Consider the following 16,753-nt stretch of genomic DNA (forward strand, 5'->3'; position numbering starts at 1 on the left):
ATCTGCTATAACAGCCACTATGATAAAGGTCAACTGTGGAGTGTGAGGGCATTTCCTAATCCTCTCCATTTTCATTCTCTTTAACCCTGTCAGTCCATGAAGTTGCTACTAAAGCTTGATGCTGTAGCTATGCATGCTGCCTGTACCTTGTTTTTAGATTCTTATCAGCGTAAATGTGCATGGGATCCTTATGGCTACTCTGTAAACTCCTAAATTTCCCGTCCTTATCTGAGGAAGTGCTAGGTACTGCTAAAGTAGAAAAGTCAGAGCCAGAGGAGATTTTTAATATAAAATAAGGCCCAGGAGAAGAGCAATCTTAGTCATGCTAGATATTTCTGAAGCATAACTTCTTAGTGGGAGATAGGAAGTAAGGAAGCTACTTGCAGTCTCTCAGCTGGGGGCCTCTTCTCCATGGATAGCAATTCAGAGATGGAAAACTATAGTTCTATTCTGCAACTAAGAATTATTTCTTATGGGACCCTGCATTTCTTTTTCCTACTCCCTATATAATCCCCTCCAACTTCAGATAATCTCAAGCCTGTTCATCAATTTAAAAAAAAAAAGTACTAAAAAAAGAGATTTCTACTTTATTTTTGGCTCACTCTTTAAGTTATGCACATAGGAATCTACATTTTCTAGCCTCCAAAGTGACGTGGATGGTAGGGACAGTAATGGAATGAAAAAGTACATCTGGTTGAGCTAATCAATTTCAAGCACTTGACTGTTTTTGCTTTTTGTTTTCCCATAGGGGGAATCCAGAAGCCTTTCTAAAATAATATGAGAAGGCATGCTATTGAGAAAATTCCTCAAACATGAGTGTGAGGGTGTTGACAAAGCCTAGGAAGAGAGAAATTACTCGTTATGAATAGGGGTTCTATCTTTTGCTGATAAAAAATCAGGAGGAAAGAAGAAAAGCAAGAAGTTAGGGGAAAGACAATGCCATAGGAGGTGAAGAATAGATCAAGACATTCTTTTTCCTGTATTTTATATTTCTCATGTATAATTTCATTGCATTTAATCCTTCTATTATCTTGAGCGTACAGAGAGTCTGTAACATCTATTGGAATTACGCATGTAAAGTCTGTGTTCTAATGGAAGTAAAATTTGTTTTCTCAGTTAAAAATAGAGACAATTTTTTTCCAGGCCCTCTCACAAGAGTCTGGAATAAATCAACATGTTTACAAATACAATAAATGTGCTACAAGCCAATTGGGGATTTGTTTGTTCACATTTTCCCAATGGCTTTGGACAGGCGGTTCAAAAATAAGCACAATTCTCCATGGAATTTCCACTGAGTAAGAGCTTGACAAATGAAATAAATCCAAGTGCTGATAAGAGAAAACATGTTTCTTATAATGGGGAAGGTGTATATACACATACATATATGTGTATTTGTGTGTGTACATATATATTTGTGTGTACATATATATATTCCACAATTTTTACTAAGGTAGTATATTGACATTGCTTTGCTGTCATTCCAGAGTATTGCAAAACGAAATGGATTCCCCACATGGCATGTAGCTTACATATTGTTGGTGAAACAAACAGGCATGACTCTAACAAATTTTTCCTCTAACCTGTTCTTATGACAATAATGACATCTAACATTCCTTAAGCACTTGTGTTGAGCTACGTATTTATAAATTAACACAGACTATATAATCTTTTCCTAGTGGTAGAAGCAGTTTTCTCATTTTTCAGATTAGGATATTCATAGGACTAATTCCCTTCAAATAATAAACTGTTCTAGAGAGAGGGCTCCAAATTAAGCCAAGAAGACTTTATGCTGACAACTTATTTCTATTAGAATACTAGAGAATTAATTCACTTATTCATTCACTAATGCATCCACTTCTTTGGGCACCTAGAACAGCGTCTAGCACAAGATGTTCACTCAATAAATATTTGTTGAGTGAGTGAATGAATGAATGATTGAATGAGCAACTCTCATGTATAATCAGCTAGGCTCAGAGGGCTGGGAATGAAAAGTTGACGCCAATAGGGCTGATATCCTCAAGTCTGATAATAAAAATCTGCCTTGCAACTAAATGGCAGCAATTAGAGACAGTTGTTATAACATGTTAAAAGGGAATTCTTGGAGAAAAATATAACTTAAGGTATGACCAGAAAAGGTTAGTGGAAGAGAGATTTGACCCTCAGTATGGGGCTCAAGAAGCCAGGAATCATGAAAGGGAAAGAGAAGAATAGAAGAAAAAAATAGTTGGAAATTCACAAAGGGAAGAATTGCAAATAGAAGGCCAGGCCATGGCAAGAGGAAATTCACTGTATTATTCAAGTGAAGAAAGTGTCCTCTCAAAATCTTAGATGAAAACTTTGGAAATTCCCATTAAGCCAAGTGTGGTGGGCAGAATAATTCTTCTACCCACCCTGAAGATGTCCATGTTTTAATACCTAGAATCTTTGAATATATTCCTTTACATGACCAAAGGGACTGTAACTCTGCAGATGTGATGAAGTCAAGGAACTTGAGATGTAAAGAGGATGTCGAATTATTCAGGTGGGCTTAATATAGTCACAAGGTCCCTATAATTGAAAGAGAAAGTTTTAGCTCTTTGAAACCCATTTCAGACTTATGACTGCCAGAACAGTAAGCAGTACGTGTGTGTTGTTTCAAGCCCATGTTTTTGATAATTTGTTACAGCAGCAAGAGGAAACTGATACAGTGAGCTAATCTAGAGGGGCACACATTGTCTTCTCAAATTCTTTTTTTTTTTCTTTTCTTTTCTGAGTGTCTTCACTTGGCATAATAAACACCCTTGGTAGCTCAAGAGCATTAAAAGCTGTATACTGATTCACATTTCTTACCTGAGAAACTTAGCAGAGTGGTGTTTAAGGTATTTAAAATGTTGAAGATAGCCTCACCCTTTGAATTGAACCTTCACTTGACCTTGTGCCTCTCATTGGTACAGTGCCCAGGTAAAATGATTCATATTGCTTTTCCCACCCTAAGGGCAAAATCATCAGCTCACATATTACAAGGAAGATCCACCACCTGTCATCTTCATTCTGGGGAAATACAGATGTGCACATTATTTTTTTCACAGAAGTATGGATATCAGAAAAGCCTCTCAATGAGTTTTCAAAATATATAGGAGGAAACAGTCTATAACACATCAGTTCTTTACATTGAGTCTGTTAACCTTTGCCTTGCCAACCTTTCCCTTCCTCTTTTCCCAGAGAAACCGATCAGTTCTTTCCACAGAAACATAAAAGACATTAGCTCACAAGACAGCATGTGTTTTCTTTTTTTGTAAGCTATGTTTGACCACAGCATGTATTTTCTTATCTTTCTGCAATGTCCGTGATGAAAAATGACTGTATTAGATCATCAATAATTATGACATTTTCTGAGTTGGATAAAAACCCACTATCAAACGGATAACCTTCAAGGATTCACCAGAAAACATGGATTATATACTGCAGGTTTTTTCTTTTACTTTTTTTTTCCTTTTTAAAAGTGATACATACACAGTTCGCTTTTGGTGGGCGGGTGGGGCAGTGGTTGACTGTGAAAACATCACAGGTTCTTTAGATTTCTATGAAATGAGGAGATCCAACTGTGTTCCAATTTTAATGTAAAGTTGTCGGGATTTCTTTCCCCTTAACTTCAACCCTGCATGAACCTGCATATACAAAAAGGTGTATTAGAGTCGATTCTTGATTTGAAACTAGGGCTTCTGATAGAAAAGAAATAGTAGACACACAATGACTGAGGTTCAGCCTTCTTGATCATGGGGCATAAATCAAACCCTAAAATCCAGACAGTCTTATCTTTAATTCACTTTACAGCCCTAAAGAGATGAGTGAGTTTTGATCTAACAGAATTCCTATTTTCCAAGCCCACAAAAAAATTTTGTTCAGGCCTGAGTTTGAATAAGTGCTAACATTTGTATTATTTCACTGTTTGTAATTGTCCACAAAGACAATTAAGGTAGGAAACGAGTGACTGTTTTAAAAACATCAGCAGGTAGCCACATGATGAAATGAGTTCAGCTGGTTTTCATTTGCTCACATGTTCTATCAATATGATTTAGAGTTAAAGACTTAAAGACCTCAAACCTGAACTTTCTTTTTTTCTTTTTGAGACAAGGTTCCACTCTGTCACTCAGGCTGGAGTGCAGTGGCATGATCACAGCTCACGGCGGCCTCAAATTCCTGGGCTCACGCAATCCTCCCACCTCAGCCTCCTAATTAGCTGGACGTACAGGTGCACAGCACCACGCACAGCTAATTTTTTAAATTTTTTGTAGAGATGGGGTTTCACCGTGTTGCCCAGGCTGGTCTCGAACTTTTGGGTCAAGCAGTCCTCCCACCTGGCCTCCCAAAGTACTGAGTTTACAGGTGTGAGCTCCTGCACCTGGCCTCAAACCTGAACTTTCCGAGATAACAGTACTAAAAATGTCATGTATTCTTTGATTGAATAATGACAAGAGAAGGACTAATTAGGACAACATAGAATAATATCAAGTGCAACTCAGAGATCCAACATGAAAAGAAAGGCAATAGGAAGAGATGTTCTTCAAGGTGTATTAAGTGCCTATAAGGGCCCTAGATTGTTAGTAGGAGTTTCATGGAGACAGCAAAGTAGAAGTCAGAATTGGGGTGAGGGTATTTATGTTGGATAATATCCTAGTATGAGTGCTAAGAACTTATGGGCAAGAAAGTGTCCAGGAAATAAATGTGATAAAATATTCCGTTCTAGAAAAGCCCAGTGGAAAATAAAGTGTTGGGTTGATGTATTTTACTGTAGTAGGATGAAGTTTGAGCTGATCTGTTAGTAAGGGAGAGTTAGAAAGGCAAAGCTGTTTTGAGCAAAGCAGTTCAGAGGACAAGAGTCAGTAGAGTTTAACAAATCACAATGACATTTTGTGATGAGAGAACAACAGTGGAATATGGTTTTTAATCTTGCATCCAACCATCTTTGAATATATGCTGTGATTGGTCTTGCTTTTTATTTTTATTATCCAGTCCTATGATGTGCAGTCTTTCTGTCAATGTTGTAGTTTTCGAATTTAAGAGGGAAGTATCTCCATGAGAAATAAGAAGTATCCGATGGATGTGCTAACATCTCAGAGGATTTTTGTTTGGCTGCAGAGGACAAGGCTCCCAGAGTTGGAAAACCAGGGTGAAAATGGAGAATAAATGTATTTAGTGCTGGAGGAGGCAGCGTGTCCTCTTTGGGCAGGGTCTGTGAGATACAGTGGTAGGGTGCCTCATGAATGCACCAGGCTTCGTCTTGCCAGAAGCTGTGTGTCTAGCAGTAGAGAGGAAACTTTAACACCCTATGTTGCTTGCTCTAATACTCTCACCATAGGAGGAGAGAGACCCATCTGGAGGCTGCATGCAGCGGCCTCTCCCCTTCACTTTTCTACTAGCAAAGTTGAGCAATGGCTATGATCATGAGCTAGAAAAGAGCTTAGATTAATCTTCTTCATATATATAGTTCTCCTGCTGGTCTTTCACTATGCATCCTGAACTGCCCCCTACCCCCACCACACTCCCAGTGATGTGAATGCCTACTTACTATTCCAAGTAACAATACATGTTTTGGTTTTGGACTCAGGCCGTCTAAACTTCCATATGAGATCTTTCCTTTGCTGTCCTTGCAATGTTGGAAGGTTCTTTAACTGTTCTCTAGGATTCTTTGTTCTCATCTCTGAAACAGGGCAGATGGAATGATACCTCTCTCATTGACTTGTTGTGAGGATCAGAATGAGATGGTTCATGAGGAATGATTTGCACGGTGCCTGGTGGTAGTGATAGGCACTACCCAGTGGTGGTCATGATGATTATGATACATCCATGAATTCTAATACTGTGAGCTCCGTTGATGGTGAGGAATAATCTGGCAGCTCCAGGAGGGAGTATACATTGCCATGCCATTGTTCTCTAATGCAGGTGTAGAGGTCTCCTTATGATCCCTAATCATTCTCTTGCTTCTCTAGAGCTTCCATTGACCTTCCTCCTTCTTCTTCTTGCTTTGTGCCCTGGGAGGATGACCAATGTGGGCTATGTCAGTGGATCCCATGTCTCCTGTGGTGTGGGCAATGATAAGCCCTGTTGTTATAGGAACAATAGGTTTATATACCCATTACACAGTAACATACCAAAACACCAAAGCAGCAGGGTTTGCAACAAGGAAAGAGTTTAATAATCACAGGGTGCTAAGTGAAGAGATGGGAGGGGACCTTCAAATCCATCTCCCCAAAGAGATCTTGGCTGAAGCTTTTAAGGGGATTGTGGAGGGCAAGGGGCTAGAACATTGGGGTCATTGTTCAGCGTAAGGGGGTTGAAATCATCAGGATGTGGCAACTGCATTCTTTGGGAAGTCAACTCCTTGCAGGGTCCTTTAGACCAGCTGGCATCAGTCATTTTTTTGGTATGCAGGTCCTGAAAGAATATCTTAAAGGAAAACTTAACTTTTCACGATGCTTAAGTTGTTATCTATAGAGCAGTTATGGGGAGCTATAATCTAGACTCGGACAATAGATGCCAAACCACTATGAGGAAACAGGTCAGAGAGTGAGCTAACCTAGAGATTAATGCTGAATATGCTGCAAGCTTGCTTTATTTTTGTTTCTACCCCCCCCCCGTTTTTCTTTGATTATTTTTGTAAAGTTTATGGGGATGGTATCACTGATGGGAAATCCAAGGAAGGGTGGAGAATAAAGATAGGTGCCTCTTCCCCCAGCGTGCTCCCTGTGAGGACATCTAGGGCTGGGATGACCTCAACAGAGAAGACACCTGGTGTCTTCTTGAGGTGGCTGCTAGAGGCAAACTGCTTTCCTTCCAGATGTCAGGAGCCTGACCCTCACCAAGACTTCCTGCATGGTTTATGACCTCCCTACACACATTTCTACTTAATAAATTAAAACAACACAATCCTTTTACGGATAATCCTAATTTGAACATGCCCTTTGTTTCTCTTTAGGACTTTTTTTTCCTAGTATGCCCTATAGGCAGACACACTTTCGAGGTGATGAATTCCTGAACGATTCACAGAATGTGGGTTTGTGAATGCCAGCCTTTCAGGATAAAATGTGCTACTTGAAACAGCTTTGTGCAGATAAGTGTATGATATCTGTTGCACAGTAGGGTGACTATAGTTAATAATAAAGTGTTATATATTTCAAAATTGCTAAGAGAGTAAATGTCAGATGGTCTCACCACAAAAAAATAAGTATTTGAGGTGATGGATAGGTTAATGCACTTGATTTAATTATTCCGTATTATAAACATATATCAAAACATCACATTATACTCCATAAATATATACAATTATAACTTATCAAACAAAACTTTAAGAATTAAATAATTTAGTTAATTGAATAAAAGGCTTTGTAATATGAAAGCACCAGTAAATGTTGAGGTCTGGCCACAGAATCATTTTACTGAGCTGTGTTTTAAGGTTACGCATCAGGTTCATGCTCTGTAAGTATGGTTTTGTTTTTGTTTTTGTTTTTTGAATCTCACTCTTTCACCCAGGCTGGAGTGCAATGGCGTGATCTCTGCTCACTGCAGCCTCCACCTCCTAGGTTCAAACAATTCTCCTGTCTCAGCCTCCTGAGTAGCTGGGATTACAGGCACCCACCACCACGCTCGGCTAATTTTTTGTATTTTTAGTAGAGACGGGGTTTCACCATGTTGGCCAGGCTGGTCACAAACTCCTGACCTCAAGTCCACCCACCTCGGCCTCCCAAAGCACTGGGATTACAGGTATGAGCCATCGCACCCAGCCAAGTATGGTTTTGAACATGAACATAGTCAGCAACTCCTCACTCTATTATTTATTATTTTTTATTTTTTAAGAGACATGGTCTCTCTCTGTCCCCCACTGGAGTACGGTGGTGTAATCATGGCCCACTGCAGCCTCCAACTCCTGGGCTCAAGTGATCCTCCTACATCTGCCTCCCAAGTAGCTGGGACCACAGGTATGCACCACCACACCTGGATAATTTTTTCTATCTTCTGTAGAGATGGGGTCTCACTATGTTGCTCAGGCTGGTTTTGAACTCCTGGCCTGAAGAAATCCTCCTGCCTTGGCCTCCCAAAGTGCTGGGATTACAGGTGTCAGCCACCACATCTAACCTAGCATCACTCACTTTAAATGAACACATATCAAATGCATAGTAACAGTCTTGATACCGTATGTATAGTAATAAGTCTTTTAACTATAAATGTTTTTTATTTGCGTAGATGGTTCACACTAAAAATTTACCATTAATTCCAATTTATGATACTAAGTTGTATGTCTGGCCATATAAGTATAGCAAACATACTACTTCTGTATTTAGGTTTGCTATTTAGTTCAGAACATTTCACTTTAAAATTTTACACAAATGAAATAGAAGAAATTATTCAATTTCTCCCAGCAACTGCAGGGAAATCCCAGCACATTATTTCCCTGGTTTTCAAACACCACCATGACCACCACTGTATTGCTGTTCATCATAGAGGATTATCATTGATTGTGGCCCTTCTGCTGGAGATAAAAGTTCTCTTCTGATCATTTCATAATAGCCCATGATATTAGATATCAGTTTGGGTGCTGGAATGACTGCAGAAAGGTCACTCATAATAGCGTGGGGGACAAGAGAGTAGCAGTGCTGCCTTCTGGGTCTGAACTGAAGCTCAATTCAGGGATCTCCTTTGAAATACTTTGGGTTTGTTCTGTTGGCCCATGGAAGAACCTGCAAAAATGTGTCTTTACCGAGAACTCAAATATGTAGCCCTAGTTCATTGACAGGAGACTATCTCTGGTGCAGTGAGTCTCCCAGGGCAGTTTCAGAACACAATAGTTCACTCTGAATTTATTCCTCCCTTAATCCTCTACCCATTTCTGGAAATATCTGCCTTTCCCTCGAAGTCAGGTATATTAAAAAACCTAGCAATAGCACTGGAGAAAACCTCTTGAAATGCAGAAAATAGAGTGTCAAATGCAATCAGGCATCAATAGAACCAGCCATCCATCCCCAAATTGATGCATCCAAGAGCACTGTACATAGTTTTTGTGTGTATTTAATAATATTTTGTCCAATAGTTTTTGAGGCTCCACCAATGGTGAGAAATGCCTTAGAGACTGCAGCTTTGATATTCTCCAGTTGTCTTTAAGCATAAGACAGAATATAAAGATAAAGCATAGACTCCATATTAAAAGCTCACCTTAAGTTCTATAAGAGATTTTATCTGAAGGAGTAAAATGCAGAAAATATTAGATGAGGAAGTTTCTGTGGGAATGAGAGGCTTGGTTAGCCCTTCATGTTGTATGTGAAAGAATTCCACCTATATTCGTGCTATTGAATGGATTTTCCTTTCCATCAACAGACATATTGTAAATGTAGCCTTAATAATCAAGGCACTCAAAACTGTACGACTCTCCTTTTCTTGGTTGAGAAGCCTAATAAATGCTCTGAATTAATATTTAGAAGAAGAGGTGGGATTTACACATTTTCTCGTCATTAGCATAGCAAAGATAAATGTTTCCATTCTTTATGAACCTATGTATCAGCCCAGTTTTAGCTACTGAACTTGACTATAAGTTAAGGTCTTTGAATATGTAGCATGCCAGAGTAGATATTGAAGCCTCTGATTCCTTAGGAAAGAGTGTTTGTGAAGGAGTAGTGGGGATGGGTGGTGTATTATTATCTCTTGTTGCGCAACAGATAACCACAAACTTAGCGGCTTAAATCAACACCCATTTTTCTCACCATTTCCATGGGTCAGGAATCTGGGTGCAACTTACCTGGGTCATATGCTCAGAATATCTCAGGGCTTCAATCAAGGTGTCATTAAGCTGTGCTCTCATCTGAAGACTTGGCTGGGGAAGTATCTGCTTTCAAGCTCCATTGAGTTGTTGGCAGAAACCATTTTCTGGTGGCTACAAAATTCAAGGCAACTTGCGCCTTCAAATCCAGAAACTGAGAAGAGAGTCAGAGAGAAAGAGAGAAAGGAGGAGGGAGAGTCAAAGAGAAGATTCTGCTGCTTGGAGATTCTGACTTCAGGGTAGTTCTAGGTCCTTATTTTACTGTATTTATTTTTCAGACAGGTTCTCACTCTGTTGACAAGGCTGGAGTGCAGTGACACAACCACAGCTCACTGCAGCCTTGACTTCCTGGGCTCAAGTGATCCTCCTGCCTCAGCCTCCTGAGTAACTGGGACTGCAGGTGTGCACCACCAAACCTGGCTAATTTTTGTATTTTTTGTAGAGATGGAGTTTCGCCATGTTGCCCAGGCTGGTCGGAAACTCCTAGGCTCAAGCAATCCACCCACCTGCCTCTACCTCCCAAAGTGCTGGGATTAAAGATGTGATCCACCATGCCTGGCCAGGTCTTCCTTTAAAGGTACATCTAGGTCAGGTTTGGTGGCTCACGCCTGTAATCCCAGCACTTTGGGAGGCTGAGGTGTATCACCTAAGGTCAGGAGTTTGAGACCAGCCTGGCCGACATGGTGAAACCCTGTCTCTACTAAAAATACAAAAATTAGCTGGGCGTGGTGGCACGCACCTGTAATCCCAGCATCTTGGAAGACTGAGGCAGGAGAATAGCTTGAACCCTGGAGGTGGGGGTTGCTGTGAGCCAAAATGCACGCAACTGCACTCCAGCCTGGGCAGCAAAGTGAGACTCTGTTTCAAAAAAAAAAAAAAAAAGAAAGAAAGAAAAAGAAAGAAAAGAAAAAAAGGAAAAGAAAAAAAAAGGTGTACCTGATTACATCAGGCTTATCCAAGATAATATCCCTTTTGATTATGAGAACCTCAATTATTTCTGCAAAACCACTTTACTTTTGCCATGAAACATAACCATGGGAGTAATATCCCATTCTCTTTGCCATATTCTATAGGTTAGAAGGTCATAGGTCCTTCCCACATTCCAAGGAGAAAACCACACAAAGGCATGGATACTAGAGGGTGAAAATCCTGGGGGCCACCCTAGAGGTTCCCACCACAGACGGAAAATCAACCACTGCTCCTGTCCACTTTGAGCTGAACCTGGTTATCCAGTCAGCAGTTTACATTTGCAATACATTTAGATTCATTTCGATGAATACTGTCCTAAGACCTTTCTCCATAGACACTTAGGAGAATCCTCCAAAATCTCCGGTGGGAAAAGAAGATGGGTAGTGGATCTTTCCATTAATATCACGTGAAGTTGTGTCCTGATTAAAGATAAATCCAACGTAGATGACAATTCTAGCATTTTACTTCTCACCATCATTCTCTCTGAGCAATGTCAACAAAATAACAGATTCTATTCTAAACAGCCCTGGCCTGCTTTGAACTGTATGTGAACCTTTGGGACATTTACTGTCCATCCAATTGCCCGATCATAAAGATTTCACTTTTCTAGATATTTCCAATACAGCAACCACCAGACTTAAAAAAACAAAGTCTGGTTTTCAATCCAGTGATTTAGTGGCTTTTAGTAACAGGGCACACAAAGCCATTTCCTGTTTTTGGTTCTTCAGCCTGTAATCTAGAATGATTAAACTGATACTTGCTTCTATTCTCTTCATCTTCTGAGACGTGATTTTGGCTGCACTTGAAGGCATTAAGTCCACAATTTTTCAGAGTCTCCTATTTATGCACCAGCCACTGGGTTAGGGACTTTCACATGCAAAGAGAAGCAGTTTGGTGATTTCTCAAAGAACTTAAAACAGAACTTTCATTCAACCCAGCAATCCTGTTACTGAGTATATATCCAAAGGAATATAAATAGTTCTGTCATAAAGATACATGCATGCCTATGCTCATCACAGCACTATTCACAGTAGCAAAGACATGAATTCAGTGTAAATGCCCACGAAGAGCAGATTGGATAAAGAAAATGTGGTACATATACACCATGGAATACTATGCAGCCAATAAGAAGAATGAGACCTTGTCCTTTGCAACAACATGGATGGAGCTGGAGGCTATTTTCCTAAGCAAACTAATACAGGAACAGAAAACCAAATCCTGCATGTTCTCACGTGTAAATGGGAGCTCAACATTGAGTACACATGGACACAAAGATGGAAACAATAGACACTGGGGACTACACGATGGGGGAGATTGGGAGGAGAGTGAGGATCGAAAACTACTTATTGGGTACTATGCCTATCAGCTGGGTGATGAAATAATCTGTACACCAAACCCCCATGACATGCAATTTATGTATATGATAAACCTGCACATGTACCCCTGAACCTAAAATAAAATAAAATAAATTTTTTAAAAAGACATCCCTTAGTGATCTTTGGAAATCATTAATTTTTATTCTTACTTTACAGGTAGGGAAGTGGTGGTCACAAGTGTCTTGACTGCCTCAAGGTCATTCAGTTAATAAGGTATCTTAAACCCAGGTAGGTTTGACCTAAGCACCGTGATCTCTGATGAACCTGTATTATCAAACTGGGGTTGTTAAGCCCTTGGAAGCCTATTAATTAAGCCATGAAGCCAGAAAGCCTCATTCTGGAAACTATTCCACATTATAACAAATTCTTCCCTGTTAGTTTGCACTACATCAGTGGTTCTCAACCAGTGGCAGTTTGGCCCCACCTCTCTACCACTGGCCAGGAGACATTTGGAAAGTCTGAAGACATTTCTGGTTGTCATACCTGGGGGGCAGGGCTGCTGCTGTCCACTAATGGGTAGAGACCAGAGATGCTACTAAATATCCCACAATGCACATCACCCCTCCAAACCCCCTCAGCAAGGAATTATCTGGCCCCAAATGCCAGCAGAGCCAATGTTAGTAAAGGCTGAGAAACTCCACACTACATTTTGACTTAATAAACTGTTTCTCAAACATTATTTTTAGAAAAAGCAAAAAAAAAAAAAAAATCCCTTTGCTATTCTGCTGTAGTTCTACATATATAAATACTGCATTCAGCACTGATGGCCATAGCATTTAATCCAGTTCATTTTTATGATTCTTGTCTCCTTTGCCTTTTCAACTCTTTGTCTATGTTTTTTTCCTGTGGGTAAGTGTTTTGCTGCTACAAATTTGTTTATTGTTGCTTGTTATTTCTCTGTGGTTTGCTATTTATTCTGCAGCTCTGGGATACTTATTAGGGGTGCTATATAAAATAAATAACAATAATGACAATGTTTACAGTACTTATCCCTAACAATTTTCCGGGCATCATGAAAGAAGACACAGAGAAACAAATGACAAAGGAGTTAGTTTGCATTTTTGCGTTTTTCCTATAAATAAGTACAGACCAGCTTCCCTCTGTCGTGAAATATTTATAGATTACTTTTTCAGGGTAAGTTTGCGATAAGTGCTTGAATGTGTTTCACCCTTGGATACATTCAATTTGTCTTCATTTTACAGTTTATTCTGTTAATTAGAAAAGGTTATAAGATTAATAACTAGTCATTGCTAATGCATTCAATGGACTGAACATTGAGTGTGATGAGGGGTTTTCTCCCCCTAAAGGGACATAAATGATCAGTTTATATGGATCCCATCAAACCTCTGATGAAGTGCACTGCACACAAAATGTGCTCAAGATTACAATGGCCTTTTGGTGATTTTCAAAACCATCCAAACATCAAAAATGCAATTATATTCTGTGTGCATAATAAATTAACTATCATGGGAGGGGCTGGTTGCTATTAATTGAGATGGAGCAAATCATGTGAGTGGGACTCTAGCTGAAGATGTGTAACAATTACAAATGTATTCAAAATACCAAAACTTTATACTTGTGTAGGGTTTTACTATTGCCAAAGGATTTTCACATAGATGCATTTTGATTTTCACAATCAGGTCTTGCTTTAAAAAAAAAAATTTTTTTTTTTTTTTTTTTTGAGATGGAGTTTCACTCTTGTTGCCCAGGCTGGAGTGCAATGGCACCATCTCAGCTCACTGCAACCTCCGCCTCCCAGGTTCAAGCAGTTCTCCTGCCTCAGCCTCCTGAGTAGCTGGGGTTACAGGCATGCACCACCACGCCTGGCTAGTTTTGTATTTTTAGTAGAGACGGGGTTTCTCCATGTTGGCCAATCTGGTCTTGAACTCCCGACCTCAGGAGATCCTCCCACCTCGGCCTCCCAAAGTGCTGGGATTACAGGTATGAGCCACCACACCCGGCCTTAAAAAAAAAAGTCTATAGCAATTAAAAAAGTGATTCAACCTCATGAAGTGGGTAGAAAACTGGAACTAAACCCATTTCTAGTGACTTTGAGTCCATTCCTCTTTATATTAGAAACCACATCTGTTTTGGGGGAAAACAGAATATTAACAAAATTATATAGCTTGGGCATACCATACAAGTCATTTAGTAAAGAAAAAATTATTTGTGGATTCAGAGGTTTGACAAAAAAAAAACCTCTGCTGAAATGATGATACTCTCATCCATTCAGCTGAGCTCCTGCCTGGTCTGCAGATGCCTTTGAGGACTTCAGGCAGAAATGCAGAAGAAGCTGTGGGTAATTGATGTCCAGTAGCTTGACCATAGCTTTAAAAGCACCCTGGGGCAAGCAAGCAATGGAAGGTACTTCACCAAGAAACCACAGAGAGCTTGCTTTGTCTGTAACCATCTTCTGAGGGATTTTGTCTGGTCATTTTTTCTCCTAATACAACCTCACATCAACAGAAAAGGTGCAAGACTAGTAAAACAAAACAAAACAAAACAAAAAACTCCTGTCCTGTGAAAAATTTAATTAGATTTACCAGTCATAACATTTTGACCAAGCTTTTTTGACTATCTCCCCTCCGCGTGTGTGTGTGTGTGTGTGTGTGTGTGTATTTACACACTTTTTTTCTGAACCATTTGGGACCAAGTTGTAGACATTATGCCCCATTAGCTGTAAATACTTCTAGTATATTTCCTAAGAACTAGACCCTTTCTTTCCTAACCACAGTGCAAATATCAAAATCAGGACATTCAACATTCCTAGAATGTCATTATCTAATCCACAATTTACATTCAAATTTTGTCAGTTGTCTCCATCATGTCTTTTAAATCTTCTCCAATCCCTTCTCCATTCCAGCACCCAAACCTTGTTCATGCATTGTATCTAGTTGCCATGGCTTCTTAGTCTTCTTTAATGTAGACAAGCTTCTCCGACTCCCTTTCTCTTTTATGACTTTGACATTTTGATACTTTGAATTGTAGCTATGTCCCTCTCAGTGTGCTGCATCAGGAGACATGTGATGTCGATTTGTCCCCTTACTGGTGATGTAAAACTGGATCCCTTGGCTAAGGCATCATCTGACAGATTTCTCCAGTGTAAAGGAATGAATTTTCATTTTGTAATGAATAAGTAATTTGTCCTAAGGTGCTTTAAGATATAGCTCCTGAGAAATGTCTCATTCACTATGGGAACAGAAAATGCACAAGATGATTTTCAACACCTTGCCATTCCAGAATGTAACAAGTACCCAAATAACGACAGGGAAATAACAAAGGACACAGGAGCCGGTGTGAAGGCACTCCTATCAGCCAATCCTGCATGAGTTGAGCACCAAAATAAGTAATGACAGGAAGGGATTATAACTCATTGACTAAAATAAGAGCCCATGAGTCTAGGCTGATAAGCTTAGATATGTGAATAAATAAAGAGGGGGAAGGAAATTATTTTCTGAAAATCAAGAAAAAAATGTAGAAGGAATGATGGAATTAAGAAAATCACCATTTTATGATCCATAATTGTTTAAAATAGAATGAAAGGCAAAGGGAGGGAGGGAGAGAAAAAGAGAGAGAGGGAGGGATGGAGGGAGGAAGGGAGAGGCAGACAGAGACAAAGAAGGAGGGAGGGAGAAAAAGAGAGAGAGAAGGAGAGAGGAAAGGACAGAAAGAGAGAGAGAAAGAAAGAGAGAGAGAGCAAGCAACAGAGCATGGCAGATGACCCCAAAACTAGAATTTCTGGAGAATCCTAACCTGTGACCCAAGGCATTTCACTTCAGTGTGGTGCTAGGCCATGCAGCTTCTGAGATCTTTCCAAATTTCTAACCTCATGTAAACCATGGTTACCTGAAATTGTCTTTCTCCAGCAAGAAGGACCATCCCTGGCAAAAAACAAAAACAGAAAACAAGGTAGAAAAATGGATTTATCAAGTTTTACAATGCTTGTCATATGACCAGAAACACATTTTTAAAATATATATATATTTACTAAATCTTTGGTTATCCAGAAATTTAAGCTATCTAGAATATGCCATGCTGTGCTCATTTCTAGAAGAAAAAGGTTTCACTGTCAAGTTACTCTGGGAAGTAGAGATGATAGGCGTCCAGTAAGTGAACTTGAGCTCTGTCTTAAGGTCTGAGAAGTCTACCTTTCCTGTCTCTCCCACAATACCACCTCACCATGCCCTCCAAACTCAGCTGTTGTTATAATATGATATTAGAAATCACAAGTTTTTAAGCTATTTTGTCCAAAGAAAAAACAAAATGAACAAATGAAAGTGTTTTTCATAATCCTGACACATCCAGTTCTTTACTCAAAATCTGTCTGGTCCATGAAAATATATTTCCCCTACCATGAAATGTCTCTTATACTATATTAACCTATTAATAAAATTTGTTGCCCCCAATGACTTCTGTTTCAAATAAAGGAAAATAAAGATTCAACTAGTTTACCATCAATATATTGTATTAAATATCAACACCTTACTCCTCTACTTATGTAGCAAAGCTAATATGGTTTTGTCAACATAATCTAAGTATAAATGTAAAAAATCTGCAACCCTGCTCTATCAGTTCATTCTCACATTGCTATAAAGACATACCTGAGACTGGATAATTTATA

This window comes from Homo sapiens, chromosome X, assembly GCF_000001405.40.
Source record: "Homo sapiens chromosome X, GRCh38.p14 Primary Assembly".
Lineage (NCBI taxonomy): Eukaryota > Metazoa > Chordata > Mammalia > Primates > Hominidae > Homo > Homo sapiens.